Consider the following 26954-nt stretch of genomic DNA (forward strand, 5'->3'; position numbering starts at 1 on the left):
CTTCAAATATTAACCACCTGAATTTATTACCTATTCAAAAACAGTAAACTGTAAATATAGCAAATAAATTAAAAACTGCTGTTAATTTTACTCACTTCTAAACAGCATACATATACTGCACTTCACTATAATATGTTCCCACACTAAATTTAGAAGTAATCCAAATAGCAAGTTGGAAGACTGATCAAAAGAGGACTTGTATTTTTGTTTAATCCAGCCTAAGGCATTTCCCAACATTTTTGTTTGTTTTACTCTCCCTTTAGCCATAGATTAAAATACAGGCAGTCCTCACTTTGCATTGTTCCACTATGCATAATTTCAGTTACTACAGTTTAGTTTTATAACAGCAATACTCCAATAACACAGGTCAAACTTCAGCTACCACAGTATATTTACTGAGAATTAATTGCATAAAGAACCGATTTGCTGCTGGCTCTTCGGCCCACAAATCACCATATAACCACCAGATGCAGGTCATGATCAGGTACTAATCAATCATGTCACTTCTTTCAAGGTCTGCCTGAGATTGGAGATTGGTCATCATTCATCTGTTATGAGGTTTATCCCCAGATCATAAAGTGTGTAGTTGTCTCCTTGTTTCCCAGTAATAAAGCCAGGTAACATTTATAAAAAATGGATAATCCAAAGAGTGAGCCAGTCAAAAGAAGTAAGTGCAGCAAATAAATGAAAAGCAATCATGCAGGAAGTCAAATTGAATATTATTAGAACTTATTCACCTAAATGAGCAGTTATGACAAAAAGGATGAAAGATATACCAGAGAGGTTATGCCAGCAAAAAACTTCACATTATCAAACTCTTGGAGCTATTTTACAATATTTTACAACACTCAAAACACACAAAAAATAACATTTTGGAAACGGATTCAGATTTAGAAAGGAGTATGACAATTTTCCAAGGTGTAAAAAAGATGTTGGCTCCATGTGCTGAGTTACATTATAAGAAGAAAAGCAGAAAAGCACTGTTTAAACTACTCTTATTATTTTTTCAAAGAAATGAAACACTAATTTTTAATGTTTCAACTGTTTTAATTACAGTGTACTAAATATTAGTTTTACTAGTTTTTATTTTCCTTTATATTTATTCCCAGAAGTAAGAGAGTGTTTAGTGTTTTGACAAAAAATTTAAACGCTCCACAAAAATCATGATTTTTTCCATGATTACTAAACTCACTTTGCATAGTTTCAACTTGCAAAGCCAAGCTGAAAGTAGTCATGCTTCTTTTCCACCAGATAATATGAACTTTCTGCTTCATTTTAAAGAATGTGTGATTTATGAACCTAACTATTATCATTAATGGAATATAATAATGTCAAATCTGTAATATTAGACCTATTTTCAAAATTAACACCAAAAATGTTACAAATGTCAGCATTACCTGAATTCAGTTTCTTGTTTTCAGTATTTTATTGTCACATATGAAATATATACACAACTGGATTCATATGGTCAAATGAAAAAAATAGTTATCGTGACAAGGCTAGTAACACAAAATAATTGATGGTATTTTATTTTTTCTTCTGTGCATGAGTTCAGGAGAGTCAATTCCATCACTGAAACAGAAAAAGATTTCGATAGACTTGTTTCCAACATTTTCTTTACAGATACATACAAAATGTGTTTGAGGAATAACTTGACTATTTTAGGGTGAACTACTGTATATTATTACTGGCTACTCTGCATTTTTAAATACTTAGACACTACATATTGTATTAGTAATCTTGAAAGAGCAAAGGACATAGGTTGTTTGGATAACAAGAGGGGTAATTATGAAGAAGGAAACATGAGCAAGATAGAAATAAACAGAAACTATAACTGGAAAATTCAATGTCACCAACGAATTTTAATGACACAAAACTTCTAACTGACAGCATGCTACTTCCATTCATTGCTAATTGCACACAGAGTACATCCAAAAGAGGAGGCAGTTAGAAAGAAGGTGCTGTGTGAACTTGGGGAGGAAACTCGGGGGTGGAAATCTCTGAAGATGTAGTGACTGAGTAAGTAAGAAGAGGACATGAGTTCATTTTGTAATGTAGGGAAACCAATCAAGCATAGATGAAATATCATTGCAATAAATGAAGATTTGTGGGAAGAGTTAGTGGAAATATGGAGAAAAGTTATAACCGTCAAAAGGAAAAATGAATTTTTTTCACAAAGTGCGTCTAATTTAGTCAGAAACCTGATAATCATGCTTAACAATTTTCTTTCCCTCGACTTCCATGTCCAAATAGTTGCCAAGGTCTGGAGATTTTTACTTTCTAAATATCTCTAGATTGTATCTGTACTCTGCATCTTTTCCACTAACACAACTACCATGACTGCTCTCCCAGACACCCAGACCACTGGCATAGTCTCCTAAGTTTTCTTCCCACATTTACTCTGCCTCAGTCTGCTCTCCAGACCCACTCTGTGCTCTTCTCCACCTCTCCCCATGCTTCAAGATGCTGAACTACAAGAACATATTAATGGGCCCCCCTGCTCTGTGGAGCCCTGTGGTCCCATCAAGGTATTTCTTCTCTCAGCTCTTTGTGTTCAGTGTCGCTGCAGGTTTGCAGCATCCCTCCACAGAAGCGATATCTTCTGTAAGGCAGCTCCCCTCTACTTAGTCCCTTTGTCTCCAGGTTCCAAAAAAAACCCTGTAATTCTTCCTGCATCAGGCCTGGGGAGGAATTATCCAACTCTTGGTCTCCTCTCCTCCCCATCTTTTGTAAATAGCTGCTTTATTATACTCTCTTCAAATAATTCCACTTGACTGTGCCATGTGTTTCCTGTCAGGGTCTGGACAATGGTCTTGTCCCTGCTCTTTCTCCAACAGCATCTCTTAATAGTCCTCATCCTAATCCACACTGCTTACAGTCTCAACGGCAACCCATTGAACTACTTACAGTTCCCCAAGTGTGCCCTTATTACATTCCAGTTTTCTTCCTTGCTATTCACCGGCCCTAATATCCACCCCATAATTCAGAAATTTCATCTTCCCAGAAGTTTTGATATCCTCTACTTACTATCTTCTAGTTTGTGTTTGGGTAGTCATTTTAGCTCCTAGAGCACGGTATCTATCCATACCACAATGCTTATCACTCCGTGATTGCCTTTTATTTGTCTGTCTATCCTACAAGCTCTGAATCACCATCTTTAGTTTCTAGTCCCCAGGGCCGAATAAACTCCCTGGCACATGATAGCTGTTCAATAAGCAAATCAAACTATAAAGCTGTGTGTGTAATCTAGCTAAAGTAGTTCAGAGCTATTTTGTAATATATTGAGGCACAGTATATTATAAACAAGCTTACCTATTTATCCCAACCATTTTCTTCTTCCAATACAGATCTTAGTGGGAATACAGCTCCCATAGCCAAAATACTGTACCAAGTGTATAGACTGATGCAACTACCTCCATCAGCCATTTATCCTTCCAAAAATAAAACCTTTAAGCTTCCTTCTCAATTCTCCTTTACTGAGCATTTTATTTCTTCAGTGTTGTCAAAGAAAATACAGTACATTAAAAAGTAAGGATGACCCAGAAAACTGGATTGAGAAAGATTTCAGAAGGAGGTTTATTCAGGGAAAACATTATGAATGTTTCATAGTATTATTACTCCCATAAGCTTTGCAGTGAGAGTAACATTTACCATTTCTTTACATTATTTTATTAAAATTATTTGTTTCTTTTCTTTTATGGCTACCTCTTCCTCTCCTCTCCCCCATTTCAACCATATTCTTCACTCAGTCCTTTAGAAGACACTATGGTATTCCAACTAGATTTCCTTACCCTTTTCAGGACTAAAGAACTTACTTCTCAGCTTCTGGGAATGCTGACAGTTGATGGCTCACAGGCGAATCCTTCCTTCCAAGTTTCACCCTCAGCTGAAGAGAGCTGCGGGTATGACATCTTACCTCCTTCCTGGGGCAGTCCACAGCCAATGACTAGTCAGTGCTGAGGGCTGGAAGGGGAAAGCATACAGAGAATGTCAGGAAACAAAGCTCCCTTGCTCCTATTTGGAAAAACCATGCGGGGATATCAGGGATATTTCAGCTCCAGAGGGCCTTCTGGAACCAGTTTTTGCTGTGACTTCATCACAACCCAACCCCTCCCTAAGCTTGACCTACCTTCATTTCCCTTCAGTGGTTGACACAAGGAGCCCTCTGCCACTCCCCCATTCACTCCTTGAATGCCAATCTCTGTCTCAGAACCGCTTTCCAGGGAGTCTGACTGTGAGAGTCTTCAACAAGGACCCCATGTTAAAAAAAAAAAAAAAAAGAATTCTTCCGTGCTTCCTTCTATAACAGTTTAATCACATACACAAACGTATGTAGGCATATACATGAATAAAAGTGTTATAAATATATAAGATTTTGGTTTTTGTTAATGGGATATTATACATTTCTTAGTTTTACCATTCAATAGCACATAGTATAAATTCCTTCAACACAACTTGTACCATTTTATAACTTTAGTTTATTCTTTGAGTAGCTACATAATACTCCATGATGTTGACATATCATAATGTAGTCATTCATCTTTTGCTGGGCATTCATCTTGATTACTGTTTTGTTTTGTGTTCGTTTTGGCCCCCATGAACAATGCTGGAGTAAATATCATTGTATATATGCCCCTATGGACTGGTAGTTTCATTTCTGTAGGTTTCCAAAAATAATAATAGGTTCAAAAATATGTATATTTTATTTTCATAGATATTGCCAGATTTGTTTCTAAAATCCTATAATATTCACATTTGTACCATTAATAAGAATAACTTATGAAATAATTCTATATAAGTCATTGTGATATATTTCTTTCTTGTCCTATACATAAACAAATGACTTAATGAAAACTTTCTTTTTCAAGATGAAAGTCTAGAGAGGTCCCCAAAATCGATCCAGCAAAGATTTTTTTGGATATAACCCTAAAAGCACAGGCAACAAAAGCAAAACCAGACAAATGAGACTACATCAGGCTAAAAATCTTCTTCACAGCGAAGAAAACAATCAACAGAGTCAACAGGGAACCCATAGAATGGGAGAAAGTATTTGTAAACCATACATGTAAGAGGTTAATATTCAAAGTATATAAGGAACTCAAAAAACACAATTGCAAGAAAATAAATAACCCAAGTTTTTAAATGGACAAAGAACCTAAATAGACATTTCTCAAAAGAAGACATGCAAATGGCCAACAGATATATGAAAAAATGTTCAACATCACTACTTATCAGAGAAATACAAAGTAAAACTGCAATGTGGTATCACCTCACATCTGTTAGAATAGCTATAATCAAAAGGACAAAAAATAACAAGTGTTGGTGAGGATGTGGAAAAAAGAGAACCTTTGTCCACTGTTGGTGGGAATGTAAAATGGTGCAGCATATCAAGAAACAGTATGGATGCTCCTCAAAAGAAAATTAAAATAGAACTATCATATGATCTAGCAATCTCACTTCTGGTTATACATATATAAAAAAATCAAGTCAGTATGTTGACAAGATATCTGCACTCCCATGTTAATTGCAGCATTATTGACAATAGCCAAGTTATGGAATTAATGTAAATGTCCATCAACAGTAAATGGATTTTTAAAATGTGGTATATATACACAATGGACTATTATTCAGCCTTTAAAAAATAAGGAAATTTTGTGATTTGTGAACCTGAAGTATACTATGTTAAATGAAATAAGCTAGGCACAGAAAGACAAATACTGCATGATCTCATATGGATGTGGAATCTGAAAAAATCAAACTCATAGAAACAGAGAACAGAATGGTAGTTGCCAGGGGTTGTGGATATGTTGGTCAAAGAATACAAAATATCAGTTAGAAAGAATAGGTTGAAGAGATGTACTGTACACATGGTGAATATATTTAATAACAATGTATTTGCATACTTAAAAATTGCTAACAGAATAGATTTTAAGTGTCACCACAAAAAAATAAGCATGTGAGATAATGGATATGTTAATTAGCTTGATATAACCATTCCACAATGTATTCATATTTCAAAACATCATGTTGTAAACGATAAATATATATAATTATTTGTCAAATAGACAAATAAATACATAAATTGTATCATTATAAAAAAAATGTTTTAAGTGCTACTTGATCACCAAAACAGAAAACACAAAATGAAAAACCACTCATTTTAGAAACTCACAGACTGGTAGAAGTGATGATAACATAAAAATGGAAAACTCTTTTTTAAAATCGAAAGTACTACAATTAATTGTAAGGCAAGTCTAGCTTTTTTTTAAGTTAATAAAATATTTTTTAAGTTTTTTTTAAATGGAGCTAGAATTTATGACTGATATACTTAAATTTATCTAAAACAATTTCTTTTGTTATTCAGACTCTCCTAGAAGCAATAAAAAGTATCCAACCTCTTTTCCCCCAGAATTGATATTGTGATGCCACTAAATATGTTCAAAAATTAGGGATAGCCAGTAAGAATTATAACTAACGATTTCCTGAATCCAGGGAATAAATATTGGTTTAAAAACAGAAAACAATGATGTTCAATTCGGAAAGCTACATACAACGTTCCATATTCAGATTTTAAATGTAGTCAGGTGCAAGAATAGCTAGATACTACCATCCCTGATTTCACCAACAAACCATTATGGACATTTTTAATACATGATACAAATCTAACATTCTTAAATGTGTTTCTGCTGACATACGATAAAATATATATATATATATATATATATATATATATATATATATATATATATATGTATCACAAAGTTCAGCTATTTTGTATTTTGTCATTGGAAAATGTGTTGTGATTTGCAAAGAAAACAGTTTTCCTGTTTTAGCAAAATTAGAAGTTAATGAACTGAGTATTCCACTGTAGCATTAACATAAATAAATACAAATCTACAACAAAGAGAGTTAATCAAATTGAGTTGAACAATGCATTATCCCAAGTACATTTTGCACAAAACTACAGGCTGAGGAGTAATTATGTTTATGCATGGGCACTTGGCATTTTCAACTTGAAAAACATTTTTTCCAAGTAAAGTTGATTCCATTTACAAGCGCAACCAGTTGGTTGCTAATGTTAGGACACCATCTTGTGGATAAGGTATCTAATTTGGAAACGTATTTGAAATCATTTACACAGTAAAATGCAAAAAAAATGTTCTTGATATCACAGAAATTAATCAACAGCTTTACCTTTATTAGCATGTCTACAAAAGGTATGGCTAATAAAAGAACACTGAATAATTTTTATCAAAAAAGCCTTTTCTCATTGTGCATCTGCTATGGACCAAATGTTGTATTCCAAAGTCAGTGTATTAGAAAGGCATTTTAGTGAAATCTTTATTCTACAGAGAATTAATGAAATCCATGTTAGTAAAGATAAACTTTCATTTGCTGCTATCACATAATGCTGAACACGTTTAAGATATAGATTGTTTGCCAATATATTGTTCTTGAGTTTTATATTGTCAATATTAAATACATATATTTAATATATATATATAGGAGGCATATAAGAATCTCAAATATCAAACTGGTTTTCTCCTTAAAAAATATTAATATCCACTCCAGCCTGGGTGACAGAGTGAGACTCCGTCTCAAAAATATGTATGTATATTAATATCTCCATTAACCTGCCTGTTTACTTAAATAAGAAAAGTAACACTTATAGGAATGCTGATACAGTTTGGCTTTATATAACACAATAAGTTAGCAGAAACAGAATACATGCCTAAGAAAGCTGAGCGCCAGTCTTTCCTCTGCAACTGATTAGCCACCTATCTTGGACAAATCAATTCACTTCCCATGCCTTAGTTATCACAGCTGTGACAAGAAATAGTGGATGCTTATCCAGAGAATTTTTGAAGACATAAAATAATACATATAAAATTTCTGCATCTACCGCAATATAGGAAATAAGAAAAACAGATCTGATTTTATTCCAGATCCTTGTTCTAATCCCTGTCCTCAAAAACAGCTATGGTTTCTTTAGGTCTTTTTTAAAAAATTCTGTGAACACCCACTGTATCTTCCAACACATTTTTCTTTTATTAAGCTGTTATGTGCAGTAAACCTTCTTGACTAACACAGCACTCATGTGATTTGGGGAAGGTAATTACATTTAGTTAATGGAGGAGGGAATAAAAATTCGGGTTTTCATTAAACGGGTATGGGTTTGAATTCTGACTTTCCCACTTATCAGTTGTATGACTTTTGGTCAGTTATTAAGCTTCTCTTGCCTTGGTTTTCTCATTTGCCTCACAGAGTTCTAAAAAGCACTAAATTAAGGTGTGTAAGGCATTTATCACAGTGACTGGTCTATGGCAAGTGGGATATGGTGAACAAGAAAGATTATTATTATAATTATTGTAAATGGATATTATTTAATTTGACATCCTCCCAAATCTCAAAATAAATCAGAGTATGAAATACTCATCATTCATAATATCTGTAAAAGAAATAATACTGTTCTGCATTGATGCCCACAAAATATCCACTTAGAAGAAGACTTAAATGGTATTTTTATAGTCTGAATTGATTTCCTCTAAATGGCTAAAGCTCTGAAACAACTTGTAACTTCCCATCTGCACCATAGTACACAGACCACAATACATCCAACTCTTCGAGAGATTTGAATCTTCACAGCTCATTAATCTATAATGAAAATAACTTATGAGCATCTTTGACTTACAAAGGCAACTTGCCTTCCTCATCATGGATTCGTGGCTCCTCCAGTAAACGTGGTGAGTCAAGGTTCTGCAGCATTCAAACAGCTTAACCATCAAAGTGACCAAAGGTCTTTTTGAAGGAGCTAAAGAAATAAAAGAGATATCCCCTAGTTTCTCTTCTGACTGTATGATACTTCAAAAAGTAAAAATACAAACTGACTATTTTGGAAATGTGAGATTGTGTTGTTTTTCAACCACATATGTGATTTTTTTGCCTTCGATATCTAGTTAATTAAAACAGAAGCATTTTACAAATACATAATGTCTCAGAAAATAAATCTGCATTCCCCTCCTCCCTCCCATTTTTTTTTCTAATTCAATTTCTAAACTTTAAGAATCAACTCAATTCTCAGCATATCCTTCTATCCTTCCTGATCCATTAGAAGTCCTAATGACCATCCTAGGCCATATTATACTTTATTTTATTCCATGTCAATAACTTGGAGCAAATAAAGACACCTCAAGCAGGCTAAAAACCTAGGATTTCATCAAATGTATAGCTTTTAAATATGAAATTAGCATTTACCTTGGAGAGAGGCAATCTGATTTTTTTCTGTTCATAAAAGTATACACTTTTTTTATTATGTTTAGACTGAAGAATTTATCGCATGCCTATTGTTTGAACTCAAGATTGTCTTTCATTTCACATTTTTCTCTTCAGTCATAACTGGATCACATTACTCACATTAAAAAAGACATAACATGCAAGAAAATAGTTCCAAATTCCTTTTCAAAATATGTGTGTACTTTTTTCCTGGCTTTCACAACAGCAAGGCATTTCCAATCTGTCTATGGTTTTGTTCTTGCTAGAATTTTTTATGCAATATCCTAAATAAGCAATTTTGGGGGAGGCATATTAAAGCGCTTAAACTTTTCATAAAAGAAAATACTCTTTTCTGGTAAGCTGTATTCCTCCATTTATTATTTATTTTCTGAAATCCAGCTACCAGTATTGCTGATTTTAGAGTATCAGCAGCTGACTGGCTCTGAGTTGGTAAGCACAGTCTACAATTGTCCTCTGTGCCTGTGTGTGTGTATCACTTGTTTAGGTAGGTGATGGTGGAGAGTGGTTTTTATTTTGAAATTTTTGATTGTAGAGGCTGACCATGTCATTAGGAAATATGTGTAAGGAGTCACACAATACTTATCGATTAGCTGCTTGGGCATCCAGCCCCTTAATCTAAGTCTTCACAAACTGTTACCTCATGCTATACTTTGTAAGTTAATGCAGGTCAGGGACTTCAAGAATCTCAAAATAACAGGTGGCTGGGATTATGTGGTAACTATTTTGAGATCACTGCTATCTGCTACTTTCCCTCAGTTACTGATACAATCCTCTAGGGACAATTGTTTGAAAAATCCATTATATTTTCTGTTATGTCCCTATCCCTACCCTTTACAAATTATAATTTGAACAATATTAGCACAATGTTGAGCTGTAATAGGCACTTAACATGATTTTTCTTGAAACTATTGTTTTCATACCAATCCTAGATTTCTTTCTTCCTATGATAACACCTCTATATTATACCCTCTGTGAAAAAGAGTTGTGTATTTCAGTAAGCTATATTTTGAGGTACTTCCTAATATATACCTTTCCATTTCAAATATTAGCATTTTTGATATTTGGTTATATTAATATTTTTAAATAGACTTTTATATACTCACACTGTCTACTTAATAACTTTTTAATTGTGATCAATAGTGCATTCTATCATGTGCTGATTCATTGGAAGCAAAGATTTGAGAGAAAATGTTCTGCATACTACAGTACTGCTTTCAATTGAATATTGATTGATCCAGCACATTTATATTAGGAGTTTTTTATTGAAAGTAATAGAGCTAAGCCCAGATTAAGAGTGCTCCATTGCTTTCAAAAAAGTCCAGTCATAAAACACATTATATTTAACATCTGTGGCCACTTTAACCTCCTAGCTTCCTATGACAGTATATGCACTGTCTTTTAACCCCTGCCAATTCAATATTATTACTTGTTTTGATGGTATATTTCCGAAATATATTGCACAGGAAACTGAGTTCTGGTCCAAGGCACCAGATAATTATTCTTGTAAATATTAATTAAAATAAAATAAACTGAAAATGGCATTGTTGTTATTTACTTTTTTATCTAGATTCTTATAACCTGACAATTCTACCGTCTCACTGATACATGATAGTCCAAGAGCTAAGATGATATTGCAGGACTATCATTAGAGGGGAAAAAAAGCAATTCTAAGCTGCCTTTAAAAAATATTCCTGGCTGAGCACAGTGGTTCACACCTGTAATGCCAGCACTTTGGAAGGCCAAGGTAGGGGGATCACCTGAGGTCAGGATTTCAAGACCAGCCTGGCCAACATGGTGACAGCCTGTCTCTACAAAAATACAAAAATTAGCCAGTCGTGATAGATTATGCTAAAATGTTCACCCTACCTGATACTAATTTTCCATTATGACGGGAAACACATATTAGAACCTACAAAGTAGTTGAGAGGGGATATGTACTTGATGGATGGAGAAAAATTGCCTCTGCAAAAATGCCTCATTTACATGATGTTAAAATGAATCATTTTTACCTAATTGGCATCACAGTTGAGCTGAATTAAGATAAACAGCTATAATTTATTAAGTTAAGCACTCACATGTGTATAACAAGATGCCCATCACAACAGAAGTACAGCCAAACAATATACTAAAGAGTCACAGATTTATTGACTATTTTAACTGAAAATATCTTTAAATATTATCTTGTCCTGATATGTTAGCCACTCATCTTTTAAGAAAAAACAAAGAACAGATAAATTCATGGGTGACTGGGTTGAAAAGGTGAGAACTGTTTAAGGCAGGTGTTAGAAATTTCTTTATTAAAAACTGCATATATTTAAAATATTACGATGCTACTGTTTAAGAAAGAATATTTGAAAATATGTATTAAACTTGTAAGTGAACAATAAGAAACACAAAATATTATTAATTTATGCTTACAAAAAAATATTAAACTACAATAGGCAGATTGCAGCTTCAATTAAAATTACTCTGTTCATTTTTTAGGCTACAATAGACATTACCAGAATTAGTTATAATTAATTTTAACCAGGTCTAAATTTAAAGGCATAGGAAATCTTTTTTTTTTTTTTTTTTTGAGATGGAGTCTCGCTCTGTCCCCCAGGCTGGAGTGCAGTGGCACGATCTCGGCTCACTGCAAGCTCTGCCTCCCGGGTTCACGCCATTCTCCTGCCTCAGCCTCCCAAGTAGCTGGGACTACAGGCGCCTGCCACCAAGCCCGGCTAATTTTTTGTATTTTTAGTAGAGGCAGGATTTCACCGTCTTAGCCAGGATGGTCTCAATCTCCTGACCTCGTGATTCGCCCGTCTCGGCCTCCCAAAGTGCTGGGATTACAGGCGTGAGCCACCTCGCCCGGCCAGGAAATCTTGATAAGGTGTGTGAGATATTAAGATTTTTAAAATCTGATAGCAATTTTGTTAACTATAGATAAATATGATATTACATCTTGTTATTCTTCTCAATTTTAACAGAAATAAAGTAAATGTGTTCCCCTGGTGAGAAGGTTTTGGATCTGATTATGTTACGCAGAGAACTCAAGTCTGACCAAACTTGAAATGAAAATCCTCCAAGAAGAAGCCACATAAAAAACAAAATAACGTTAGAGGTGCCAGTATTTTCATAAATTTGGAGGAGTTAGGCTCAATGCATACTCAGAATAGTGTAGTCCAGAAAAAGAAATGATGACTTAGACCCATAGACAGATGAGGAGGCTGAGTTTGCTCAACAAACATTGCTTTTGCTTAACCAATATCCATTCCAACTTCCTTTGTATGTAGCACTATCATTTGCTTGGAGGACTGTTGTTCACCAGTATTGGTTCTGTCATGTTCCACATCCAAGAGGTTCACTCCAGGGAAGAATTCACACTGGAAGGAGAAGGAATTGCAGGAGCTACATTTTTGCATGAGTAATTGTATTGTCATTATCAAATTACCAATTTCTTCAAAACAGTAAGTCCACCAAGGACAAGAATGCTGGGTCCACTCCCTGAAGCCAAAGGAAAAGCCTGGCAGAGTACTAGTGATTCCACAGGCTGAAGTTCAGCACAAGGGACGAAACAAGGGGGTAGAGATGATCTATAGTTCAAGGCCCTTCTGATTGTCAGGGCTCACCCTAGCGCAGCCGACCGTGGATCTAACAAGAACTTATTTCAGTCTTCTGCTGCTGGGAACAAAGTAGTTAAGAATGTTTTTACTTCAGTCAAGAATGACCAAGGGCTGAGCAAAGCTGCCCAGCTGGTCTTCCAGCTTGGGTAAGTAAGTAGGCCTGGAAGAAGCAAGCCATAATGGTGTAAGGATGGTTTGTTAACAGTGGATAAAGTCAATAATATGGTGTGTCTCAAACTGAGAAAAAGTTTAAATATATAAACAACCACACTTCTTGATATTTTGCAAAGATACTCTCTCTCTGCACTTGAACTACTCACCTCTCTTTGGGACATTCTTTATTCTCCTGTGGTAAGATTTTTTTTTATATCTTAAATGCACTAAAATGCTATCTATCTTCTAGGGAGAATACCTGGTTCTGCAAATGGTTTTTTTATATTTCTACGTAATTCTAATTTGAATTAAGTATTCCTTCTACAGGAAGGTATGGACAATATCTAATTAATAAATAGATCTGTGCACTGGGCCCTGCACATCAGAGGCATACAGGAAATAGTTGTTCAATTAATAAACGCCAGGTTCATGAAAGGAGTAGTTCCTTCTCTGACTGAAATTATTCAGATCTATCTTTAATGTTTTAATTATTCATAAAAAGAGTTTCAGCTGGAAATTAAACCTCATTAGCACCTGAGACACGAAGTGCTCTCCTTTACACACAAAATTAATTCGATTACTGATGGAGGAGAAGTCTTTTCAAAATGAGAAGAAAGGAAAATGAATATAGAAGAGTAGAGAGGAAAGAAAGCATAGTCTCAAAACTTAGGTATGGCATATATTTACAGACTCTTAAGTACTGCTCTCTGGTTTGTATATGGAATATAACAACATGGCACTTAAGTGTGTAATTAGAAAACATGCATAATAAGAACCTTAGTTTCAGTGAAAAAAAGTGTTTGAGTGCTCTAAAACCAACTACGGGGGTTGGGTCTAGTTTCTCTGCAGTTAATAAAGAACTATTCTATGCTTCACTTAGATAGTTCTTTATCTTCAAAAAAAGATTTCTTTTCATCTCTGATACCTGAAATTCCAGGTTTCAATGGCCATGGTCATCAGCATTATCTTCTTTGGAAGGATTCTTCCTCAATGATAAAGAATGATAGGTAGTAATGTGAAAATCCAAAAGACATTCCATTTACAAGTTTTTCTGTATAAAATACAAAATACTTATAAAAGGAATGATTTGTGCTTTATTTGTGTTTTTCTGGTTTATTTAACTTTTTTTGGTTTCTTATCCACATAGATTTATCCACACTATAAGTGAATTTAAAAAGAAGGAATTTTAAAATAAACATGATGACCTATTCCTTTATAAAACATATTTAAGTTTAAGAGATAATGAATAACATAGTCAATAGAGAATTTTTCATTCTCTTCTGGGTTTCAAATAAACTTGGTTTCAGCAATTTAGAGTTCTAAAAAATATGTCAATGTGTAAAGCGCATTGGCGCATCTCTTCGAATAAATTTTGGAATAAATCAGATTTTGTTCCCTTCTACAAAGATAATAAGAAATATGTCCAACAACTGTTTTCAATGGGTTATGAACCTTCAGAAGGTTAAATTCTCTATTTCTGTTACTTTGGGGATCCTTCTTATATCTCTGACAAGCTCAGTACAAGTTGCACCTGTCAAATATGTTGGCGGTTTACAAGACAACTGTGCCTGAAAGAAACTGGGCCTACATTTTCACTTATCTTATTGAAGTTTGATATTATAAAACTGTGACTGAAATTTTTCTATCAAATAATGCTTCTACTTCCTTTATAAGAGTGAGAGGCTTAATGCCAAAAGCACAGCAATTTGAAGATATCCTTTTTCAAATATTAGGTCTTCAAAACATAAATGCTACAACACATTAGAGCTTATAAAGTGACACATAAAGCTTCCTGCATAAACTGTATTTTTTATAAGACTTTGTAATAATTATGTCACATGAAATACCAAAGAATGTTTCCTTCCAAAAGATTATATCTAAAATCATCTAACTTTATAAAAGAAAGCAATAACTTTATAAAAGAAAGCTATAGCCCTAATTAGTAGAGGGTCATCCTAATGATATAGTGACATTCTGATCTAATCTATTGCTTTGATTTTTATTGTCTTTTTAGAAATATATTATGACACAAATCTTCATACAGATTAGAGACACATGAAATACCTGAAAATTCTACTTCCACCTAAGGAAAAGAGGAGAACAAGGTTCTTAATTCAGCACAAGTGCTCTCCAAAATTCTTTCCTCAGAACTTCAGCCGTTCAGAGGGTGGAGAGTGGGAGGAGCCAGAAGATCAGGAAAAATAATTAATGAGTACTAGGCCTAATACCTGGGTGATGAAATAATCTGCACAACAAACCCCCATGACACAAGTTTACCTATGTAACGTACCTGTACTTGTACATCTGAACTTAAAATAAAAGTTTAAAAAATACATAAAAATCAACAATAAAAGAAATTCTTTTCTCTCTCTTCTAGCACTTTTTTTCTTTAGCCTCCAAAAGCAGTGTTGTTTCATTAGATCTTAGATAAAAACTGAGTCTCTGGTCTGGCTGTCTCTATGGCAATGTAGATGTTTGGTTCATTGTTGGTTGAGCGGTGGGGTATAGAGGGGTCAGTCATCTTCAGTACTCAGGTTAAAAGGAAGCCCTTCCTCTCTGAAAGCTAGAAAATGCTCTCCTATCCCTTTCACTTCACCACAAACATTCATTTTCCCTGAAGCCTAGGGCAGTGCATAATCTCCAGCCATCCTGGGGTTAGATAAATCAGTCATTCTAGAGCTTTCTTATTCTGGGGATGGAGAGAAATGGGTTCCAGCTCTTCCACTTCAACCATTGAAACAATAAGCAATTATGACCAATTTCAATCTTTTACTTTACTGACCACACTCCAAAATATCCTCCAATAAAAGACAATGAGAGGAAAAAGAAGCAAAGGAATATGTCTAAAAACTGGAAGTGTTACGGGAATGGTGTCCCTATCCAGACCCCCAAGAGAGGGTTCTTGGATCTCATACAAGAAAGAATTCAGGGCAAGTCCGTAAAGTGAAAGCAAGTTTAAGAAAGAGAGGAATAAACGAATGGATACTCCATAGACAGAGCAGCCCCGAGGGCTGCCGTTTGCCCATTTTTACGGTTATTTCTTGATGATATGCCAAACAAGGGAAGGATTATTTATGCCTCCCCTTTTTAGACCATATAAGGTAACTTCCTGACATTGCCATGGCATTTGTAAACTGTCATGGCGCTGATGAGACTGTAGTAGTGAGGACAACAAAAGGTCACTCTTGTGGCCATCTTGGTTCTGGTGGGATTTACCCAGCTTCTTTACTGCAACCTGTTTTATCACCAAGGTCTTTATAACCTGTATCTTGTGCCAATTTCCTATCTCATCTGGTAACTTAGTATGCCTTAACCATCTGGGAATGCAGCCCAGTAAGTCTCAGCCTCATTTTACCCAGCTCCTATTCAAGATGGAGTTGCTCTGGTTCACAGGCCTCTGACAGAAGGAGAGGGTCTTTTAGCACCTTTGGTGCATAGGGCAATAGAGTCCTAAAATTATTTTGAGCAGATCAATCCAACAGAGGCATAAGGTAACAATAACAGATAATGTGAATGAGAACACAACAGGTAAAAGGAGCCTGCTTTGCAACCTGGGAAGCTGTTCCATTTGCTCTAAAATCACAGAGGATCATATATTGTTTATACAATGTGACATAATAAATTTTGAAAACTATCTGAAAACTGATCTAATTCTATCCCTAGTTCCTATGTCTTCAGTTGGAATCAAAATTGAAATTATCTTGCTTGGATAAGCATGCTTTCCACATGGCAGTTTACAGAGCAAAAAATAAACTATTTTTTATCAAAAAGAAAAATATAGAATAACCTAGTTAAAAGAATATTGATTTTTTTCTTATATAGCTGGCACAAATTAAAATCATACAGTAGAAGTCCAGCAGCTAACTCTGGAGTTTTCCCCGAATTTTTCAAGGATCTCCTCTTCCTATTTACCTGCTGTTCCTCCCTCTACCCAGCCTCAGATGCCCTAAATTTAGTGTTTCTCAAGTTTCAGAAATGTACTAATCTATTTCAATGTAAAAAAAAATGCTCTTTGAGGCTTCCTAGTATTGACAAATTATTTTTATTATTGTTTGTCCAATATGTATAAACACAAAGCTAAGTATAAACTCCTTATGCTTAGAGCTTATGGTTAGAACATCAATTCTAAAACCAAAATAAATATATACAAACAAAATTATAAAAGCAATAAAATTCAAATTAACATTAATTTAGTGTGGTAAATTATGCTATTTTGCTGCAACAAAATGTAAAGATGATACTTAACACACTGGTTTGTCATCTTAGTTCAGAATGCTTACGCTATCCTGTGATATCTGATGATTCAAGTATTCTAAGACTTCTCTATTAAAACTATTGGAAAATGTTCAATTGTGCAGTGCACTGTTTTGTAATTGGGCCTTTACTTGGTATTAGATGCATCATTTATGTACGAAGCTCTGCCTCTGTTCTTTTAATATTATTCTACATTTAAACTACCCCTTAGCTTAAACACATTATATTCACCAAGGCACAACTCTCTATGAGGGCAATTTTGCCCTACAAGGGACATTTGGTAGCATACAGAGACATTTTGATTGTTACAAAATGGAAGAAGGAATACTAGCTTCTAGTAAACAGAGGACAGATATTCTGCTAAACATCCTAAATGCAAGGATAGAGCCCCATGACAAAGAATTACCAAGTCCAAAATGTCAGTAGAGTGAAGATTGAGAAGCACAGCCAAGGCAAATACCAACTGTGAACAGTCAAGTCCTACTTGAGTCCTTGGTTATAAGTGGTTATCTGGATGATCCAAAATATGCTTATATCAATTTATTTCATATTTTTGGTTGAAATTTTTAAAAGAAATTTAAATTGGCATTCTACCTATCTAAAAATTATTGAGCTTCATCAGATATATAAAAATTAAAAACTATAAGAACCCAATGAGAGTTATCATTTTGAAGAAATTCATTTTCTTACATAATATTATTAAAAAATCACACAAGGCTCTGGGATTTTTTATTCTTAATCTAATTGTTTTAAAAATACCACTCTAAGAATTAGCCTGTGTTATATATACTTATAGAATTACTCTAAAGTGAATCACCTTCAGAAAATGTTTGTTAGTCACCTAATTGACTGTAATAACATACAAAAGAAACAGAATTTACTGCAGAATCCATGTTATAGTATAACGGAGCTGGATATACATTTCTAAAAAGGGGCGATGATCTAAGAAAGTTGGTAAACTAGAATTATAGATTAGTTTAAAATGATATGATAATTAAGAATCTTAATATCATCCCTAGTTTATCAGAAAAGCATTTATTGAACACTTGTTATGAGGCATCGTTTTTATAAACTTTAATCTCAGGTCAAGCACAGTGTATTTTTCCTCCCTACTAGTTTCCATGTCTGATGGGCTCCAGTCAGAAGGTCTGGGAAATAAATATTTGCCAAGGATAAAGAAAAAAGCAATGCTTTTAAGGCTAAAATTCTAGTTTGCTGCAACAGAAAATGTTTCAAAATAGTTTGCATTTCAGTTGCTTCTTAACATCTTCTTGCTAGTTGCAGCAAATTGTGGATCATCTTTAATACATTTACTGCTGCCTAAGAGGCAGTATTGATTAAGACACTGGCCTAGAATCAAGCAGTCTTCATTGGACATTTGATTGTTCTGACCGCTGATAGTGTGGCCTTAAGCCTATTCTTCCTATAGTCCATTTTTTATTTGCATAGTAGACATAACATTAATAGTTCTATTAGCTTTTTGATGGCTAAATGAGGTAAAAGAGAGTGCTTAGAAAAATATCTGGCACTTGATAAGCTCTCAGTAAGTGTTTGCTATAATTATTTCTTTATTTGAGTTGTTATATGAGGAATAATTAAAAGATTACAAAAATAGCAAATGAAGATGATTAAAGCCCCATTTTCAAAATGCAGCTGGATATTTGAAATGAACAGAATTATCCTGCCTAGAGTAAATCATTCTCTTAATTCTCTCTTGACAATAGTTCCACTGAAAATGTGCCCATTTACTATGCTTTAATTCAATTTTTTTCATTAATTCAAACAAATAAACATGTACTGAACACCCACTAAGTTCCAGAGCAGATGCAGTCTAATGTGGAGATGCAAAGAAAAATAAGGCAGAGTCTCTGTCTTCAAGAAATTAATGATGAAAAGGGAAATTGATATTGGCACAGAACCAAATGACCAGAAAAAATGCTTTAGCCCACTCCCTGATTCACAGGCTTACTTAAAAAATGTTAGTGAACATTTCATAGCAACTGATAATGCAGGTAAAACTAAGAGCAAAGAACTGTAGCTTGCATGCATTTGTATATGAAGAACTCCTTTTATGAAGAAAGATGCTGATTATAGGTTGGGAAAATAATCCCAAGCTTCTCTTGGAATTATTCTCTTAGAATTATCTCACTCCATAGTTTGCCTTTCTACTGTATTGTGCAGAAACACAATGTGGGTCCACAACACATACACACACACACACACACACACACACACACACACACACACAGCATTTAAGCATGCATTTTTTTTTCTTTTAACTTCATATACTGTTCAATAAAATACTCAGCATGGGTTCATCTTAAGATGGCCTCCAGTTAAATAAGATGGTGGAAATCAGTCCCAATAAAGAAAAGACAGAACAGACAACTGAAATCAGAAGTATTGCATTTAGAACACTCTTGCCATTTGCTTGATTCCCCACAGCGTTGTTCATGAAGCTTCCCCTGCAAATACTTTGGGTATTTATAGCCTTATCTAGCTTCTGCAATGTTCCTGGGATTTGTCTGCTAAGAGCCTTGAAAGGAAAAGCATTGTGAAGAGGTGAAAATGACAAAGTAGAGCTATATATGGAAAGTTAGGAGCAAATGATGCTTAAAAGTTAACAGAAGAACAGCAAAATAATCAGCATGCAATTATCCTTGGAGGAATATTTCCACCGGCAGAATTTAAATCATTGCACTTGTTCTTGTTATATTTATTATAATAATATTAAACCTGTAACACTTCTGGGGGACAAAAACCAATGTGGTCTTATGTCATTGATACATAATAACTGAGGATCTACATTGCAGTGTCATTTGGCTCTGTAAAAGGAAATCAGTTCTAACTTTTTGTATCTATAAAGGATGTGAGATTTTTCAACAACTTCGAAACTTACAAGTTAACCTGTCACACCAAATAGCCAAAACAATTTTAAGCAAGAAAACAAACCTAGAGGCATCGTACTTCCTGATTTCAAAATATGCTACAAAATGACACCAATCAAACAGTATGGTACTATCATTGAAAAAAATACACATATAGACCAATAGAACAGAATAAAGAGTCCAAAAGTAAATCCACTCATATACAGGCAACTCATCTTCAACAAGGATGCCAAGAATACACAATGGGGAGAAAGTAGTGTCTTCAATAAACGGTATTGAAGAAACTGGATAGTCACATGAAAAAGAAGAAAATCAAGCCGTTATCTTTCACCATATACAAAAATTAACTCGAGATGGACTAAAGATTTGAACATAAGATCTGATACAGTAAAACTAGGAGAAAACAGAAAATACTGGAAAATCTTCTTAACTTTGGTCTCAGGAATGATTTATTGAATGTAACACCAAGAGCACAAACAAAAAATCAAAAATAGACAAATTGGTTTATATGAAACTAAAAAGTTTCGGCACAGTACAGTAGAAAGGCAAACTGTGGAATGAGATAAAATATTTACTAGCCATATATCTGATAAGGGGTTAATATCCAAAATATATAAAAACTCCTCAAACTCAATAGCAAAATAACAAATAACCCTATAAAACAATAGGCAAAAGATTTGAATAGACATTTTTCAAAAGAATATATACAAATGTCCAACAGGTACTATACGAAAAAATGCTCAACGTTATTAATTATCAGGAAAATGCAAATCAAAACCACAGTGAGATATCACCTCACACCTGTTAGGTTGGCTATTAGTAAAAAAAAAAAAAAAAAAAAAAAAAAAAAAAAAAAAAAGATAAATGTTGGCAAGGATATGGAAAAAAAGAGAACTCTTATACTCTTGCATATTTTTGGTGGTAATGTAAAATGGTGCAGCCACTATAGAAACAGTATGGGCGTTCCTTAAAATATTAAAAATAGAACTATCACAAGATCCAGCAATCCTTCTTTTGGGGAAATATCTGAAGGGATTAAAATCAGGATCTTGAAGTGATATCTGCACTCCCAAACTCATTGCAGCATTATTCACAATGGCCAAGATATGGAAACAAGTCAAATGTCTATCAACAGATGTTTGGATAAAGAAAACGTGGTATATACCTACAATGAAATATTATTCAGCCTTTAAAAAGAAAGAACTCCTACCATTTATGACAATATGGATAGACCTAAAAGACACTATGCTAAGTGAAATAAGCCAGACACAGAAGGACAATTAGACATAATTCTTCTTATATGAGGTATCTAAAATAGAAGTAGACAACAGGATGGTAGTTACCAGGAGATGGGAAGAGGGAGATATAGAGAGTTGTTATTCAATGGATATAAAGTTAGAGTGATACAAGATGAGTAAGTTCCAGAAATCTGCCGTGCAACATGTTGCCTATAGTTAACAAAAAGGAGTGTGTATTTAAAAATTTGTTAAGAGGGTAGGACATAAGTTCAGTGTACTTATAACAAAAAAAGGCAGATGTAAGGGAGACATTAAGAAGGTTTTGATATATTTATTGTCTGGATTGTGGTGATGATAACTCAAGTGTATACATTTGTCTAAACTCACCACATTGTACACATTAATTATGTGCAGTTTATTGTAAACAATTTGTATGTCCATAGAACTGGGGTGAGGGAAGTTAGCCTGCTACAGTTTTATTGGTGCTGACAGAAGACGTGATACTCCTAAGCCCCCAAAAAGCTCAGGTTTTTAATCACAGCAGTAATAGTAGCCAGATCATCACCATTTTGCACCAGTTCTCTGAGCCCCAGTATTCATGCGTCACTGAAAAGAGGGCCAGATGACACCTGTATAAAGAATAGGGTATATTACAGGAAAGGACCTCTAAGCTTAGGAAATTCAAGTCTTTTATCATGGACAGTTAAGCCTGCTTGGCCCAAAGGCAAACATTTTATTTATTGTATTCAGCAGTAAAAAACCCTTCCCTTTGCTCTGAAGGGAGACACTATTCTTATCTCCCAAGGTTGTTTGCTACACAAACATCCTTAAAACCATAGTCTAGAATGTGGTAGACGGTGCCTTTACTCACAAGGCATGTAGAGATGTGAGAGAGCAATGGAGAATGGTTGTACAATTGAAACTATAATAACTTAAACATTTTCTAACTCTGAAGTAGTATACATCAAACAAACCTCTTTAGGGTTTAGGAAAACTATATTTGTGTGTACTACACAACATATATAAAACTTACAGAAAATTAAATGCTTACAAAAATAGAAATTTAAAAATGTGAAATATCGAAACAGCAAATGAACTGTTATGACTATAGTTTATGTTCTTTGGTGGGGGTTAATTTAATTATTAATCTATGCTGACTTTTACTCTATCATTAATTAAAATCTAGAAAAATTTCAACAGATATTTTCTTTTTTTTCTGGAAGATATTACTTTGACTTCTTTAGTACCAGGGAGTTCATTGATTCTACAGTTAGATTTATTATTGGGAGTAAGATCATACATTCTTCTTCTCATACTCCTTTTCACGCCAATGATAGTACTAGAATGGAAATAGCTTTGACCAAAAACATAGGTAAAGCCTTTTTCTATGTTGTATGTAGGTGTAGGGCTGTGTGTGTGTGTGTGTGTGTGTGTGTGTGTGTAAGAATGAAAGTTCTGGAATATTGAAAACTATCAACACTCATTTATCCTCCCTGGTCATCAAATAAGCCAACTTGTTTTCCAGATGAAAAATGACATAGAACACAAGAACTGAATATTGTTTTTCTATCATTCTGAAATCCACTACAGAGTAAGTGCCTAATATCACATATTATGGAGCTAGCCCAGAAGAGAATTTGAAGGTTCATTTTTAGAAAACTTAAATGGATTTCCAAATCCTAATTAAAGTATTATCCCTACAAGACAACCAGGATTTCATTTTATCTCTCTTCATATTTCAAATCCCTACCAGAAAATGTGAAATATAACTATATAATTCAGGGTTGCTAAATAAAACAATTTAAAATATGCGTTTTCAATATTTACATGACCATGTTAACATAACTTCAAGTGACTTAAATTATTCATAAAAATGCTGCTTCACCTGGACTAACAGTTGCACAATTAAGATAGATTTCACACGTTTATTCAATGACACAAATGTACAAATACTGTGTAAAGTCTGTACTAATCCAAATATAAAAAATTAATTGCTTCCCTCTAAAAACTGACATTATTGCAGGAGGCTAGGAAGAATATGACAAGTATGTAGAAATCTTGATAGAAAATTTAAAAAGAGAACTCAGATGAGACAAATTTTATGTAAAATATCAATTTCATTCTAATTGGAGCAGCTAAATTAGTAAATGTCTGATTTGCAGACTATTTAACCATTAATAATTGAATTTGGCTTCACCATGGCTTACTGAACTCAAAAGTTTATGTAGGCACCCTCCTAAAATTTCACTGAGATGACAGAAAGAAATATATAAAACTAAGGATATATAGCAAGGAACTTGTTGAGTCAAAATAATCAGAATATACTTTTGATTTATTGTTACTCTCTTTTAAGAGAGGTTGCTACTTGAACATTCTAGCTAATTCTATTTTACTACTGCAAGCAACAAATCACTTTAAATTAGGAAAAAAATTGACTATAAGAAATGACATAGTATCTGGCAAAATTGAAAATTTTTCTTCAGCCCGGACCTTAGAATATTTTTTATTATTATAAAATAAATAACATAAATAAGGCATTTATGCTATGCCTTATTTCTTATTATTTCTTTTTCATTCCCCACCAAACCTATCAAGTGAGTTGGAAATGTCATTGTACCAAAAGAAAGAGAGGACAGCATTTATGCTATGGTCTATTTTTTATCCAAGATAATGCAAACCAACAATCAGACTCTATTCTTGCTGCTTCTGTTCTTCCAAAGTTGTCAGTTCTCAACCAGGACTATCTAGGACTCTCCATTCACCTGGCTGACTGGGTCATGAGAACACACAAAGAGTTCTGCCAGCAACCCTGAACCAGGCTCTGTGGTCAAGCTCAGTTGTTGCTTTAAAAATAAACAACATTCTGAGCAGTTTTATTTCCTCCCTGGGGAAAGATTTTATGATGTTGGTGACAATTCAATTATAACACTCTTAAATCATTTCAGGCAGGTTCAAAACAGGCATAATCTCCACACAAAGAAATATTTTGCATAGAAATTTTGCAAACATGATTTGTTATACCCCCTTGTTGTGGTATGTATAACAATTCCATCTGTGGAAAGATACACACCAAGCTTTACCTAGAAAAAAGTAGTCTGGCAAAGCTATTTGTTTCCCATTTAAAAGGTTACTTAATATTGGGAAGACCAAGACAGTGTGAATAATGGACTTACACATAGTGAGTCCTCAATGTAGATAGCCACTAAGTTAATTCAGATGCAACAGATTCAACTCTACTTTATTTAGCACCTACCATGTGTCTGTTCTACATAGGGACTTCATTTAACAATAGAAAAAATGAGTTGATATATCACCATATTAAAGAGCCCAGAGATTTGCTTAAAGGTCTCATATAGTGCCACATACCATTGTGAGCATTATTCAAGACGCTTGTTCACTGAAGAACACAGTACAAGAGAATCATTCTTCATTCCTAGTCCAATTGCCCAGTTCAACCCATAATGCCTGATGAGTACAAAATCCCAACAGCCTCCTAACTAGTCTGATGGCTTTAGACTATTATTCACATGCCAATCATCTTTCACATTGTTGTCAATATTTATTTCTAATTTTTATTTTAGCTCTAAATATTTATTTCTAATATTTATTTTAGCTCTGAAAATGGTCATTAATCCACATAGATTCTTCCCTTGCTGACTCCAATTATCTACATAGAGAGTTTAAACTCCTTGCCATGGTACTTCAGATACTTACAGGACTTAGGTCTGACTTACCTCTTCAACTACATTCTCCTTCATTCCCCACCATACCTATCAAGCTGAACTACTTATCCTTCCCTGAAAAAAAAAATCATACATTTTCAAATCTTTATTTTTTTTCAGTACTCCTGTCTCTGTTTGGAAAACACGAAGTTTGTACTGGACATGATTTATCTAGTTCTGTGACTTTGTACAATACAATAAGACTAGAAAGCAAGTATAAGCAAATTAGATAGATACTTGGATGTCTCCAAAGTTGAGAATTGATGATGTTAAGATACAAAAAGGTAATAAGGGTGAGAAAACATGACATGGTGACCAGAAGAGTCTAGCTTGAATAGAGAGGTGAAATCTAGAAATGACTGAAAGACCAAATGAATAGGAAGGCAGTGAAGCAACTGATGGCTAAGGGAAGAAAAAGAACACGTTCTATGGCAGAAATGAGTTCATGTCCTTTGTAGGGACATGGATGAAGCTGGAAACCATCATTCTCAGCAAACTATCGCAACGGCAAAAAAACAAACACCGCATGTTCTCACTCATAGGTGGGAATTGAACAAGGAGAACACATGGACACAGGAAGGGGAACATCACACACCCGGGCCTGTTGTGGGGTGGGGGGAGGGGGGAGGGACAGCATTAGGAGATACACCTAATGTTAAATGATGAGTTAATGGGTGCAGCACACCAACATGGCACATGTATACATATGTAACTAATCTGTACATTGTGCACATGTACCCTAAAACTTAAAGTATAACAAAAAAAAAAGAAAGAAATTAAAGAACAAAAGTTTGGGATCAAAAACATTAGCTATTTGAAGTTGAACGGTTCTAGGTGATGACGAGTTGCAAATGTTGAGAGGGAATTGCTGAAATTGAATTTTGAATGGGAGATGACCAAAGGGCCATGAGGCTAGAGTTTGGAAAAGGTCACACAGATCATATCAGCTAGATGAAGCAAGTATAAGGAAAAACATTGTCTTAATTGCCCAAATCTTCCCCAACTATGGAGGAGGTGAAGAGGATGACATTGAGAAGGTGAAGAGATCATATATCTCTGATGACATAGACCTCAGCTCATTGCATAACTTAAAACCAAACTGCAATACATCTAATTAATATCATTTAAATATAATATAGCTTAAGATAATTACCATTTGAACATAATTTCTATCAAAAATATCCATAAAGTTGATTTGTATTTTTATAGTTGATTAAAAAGTGAAAGATACATTTTTTTTTCCGAGACAGAGTCTCGCTCTGTCGCCCAGGCTGGAGTGCAGTGGTGCTATCTCGCTCACTGCAAGTTCTGGCTCCAGGGTTCAAGCCATTCTCCTGCCTCAGCCTCCCGAGCAGCTGGGACTACAGGCGCCCGCCCCCATGCCCGGCTAATTTTTTGTATTTTTTAGTAGAGATGGGGTTTCACCGTGTTAGCCAGGATGGTCTGGATCTCCTGACCTCGTGATCCGCCTGCCGCGGCTTCCCAAAGTGCTGGGATTATAGGCGTTAGCCACCGCGACCTGCAAAAAGATACATTTTTTAAGCGTGCAATTGATTCAGGATTTTTCTTGGCCCCTTTGCCAGACTTCCATCAAGGGTACCCTGTCTACTCGGCCTGCCATGCTTAGCCTCTTGTGGGAAGGAGCACAGGAACAAGTGAGTGCGGGATCTGGCTGGCCACTCCATCGACATAGCAGCAAGGTCTGTGCGGGGCCTGCAGCCAGACCAAGCTGCGTGTCACCTAAAGAGGAACACAGTCGCACCCAGGCAAGGGTGCCTATGACCTGGAAGCCCCAGAGGG

At 34.7% G+C, this 26954-nt stretch overlaps 2 long non-coding RNA genes across 3 annotated transcripts in view; one reads left to right on the forward strand and one right to left on the reverse strand.

Annotated features, from left to right (window-relative positions):
- The window catches only part of LOC105379149 (uncharacterized), a 49301-nt gene extending 34127 nt beyond the window's left edge, over positions 1–15174 (forward strand). The window contains exon 4 of one of the 2 annotated variants that reach the window (XR_948712.3): positions 15067–15174. This is a non-coding gene — a long non-coding RNA (uncharacterized LOC105379149). Of the gene's footprint in view, positions 1–3800; positions 3855–15066 lie in introns of those variants that run through there. The other variant, XR_001742862.1, reaches the window with a different exon arrangement.
- LOC105379148 (uncharacterized) lies at positions 3728–8928 on the reverse strand. Its single transcript, XR_001742863.2, has 3 exons — positions 8693–8928; positions 4130–4242; positions 3728–3963 (listed from the first exon to the last, which is right to left on the reverse strand). It is a non-coding gene; the product is annotated as an uncharacterized LOC105379148 (long non-coding RNA).
- Positions 15175–26954: the final 11780 nt, after the last annotated feature.

This window comes from Homo sapiens, chromosome 5 (assembly GCF_000001405.40).
Source record: "Homo sapiens chromosome 5, GRCh38.p14 Primary Assembly".
Lineage (NCBI taxonomy): Eukaryota > Metazoa > Chordata > Mammalia > Primates > Hominidae > Homo > Homo sapiens.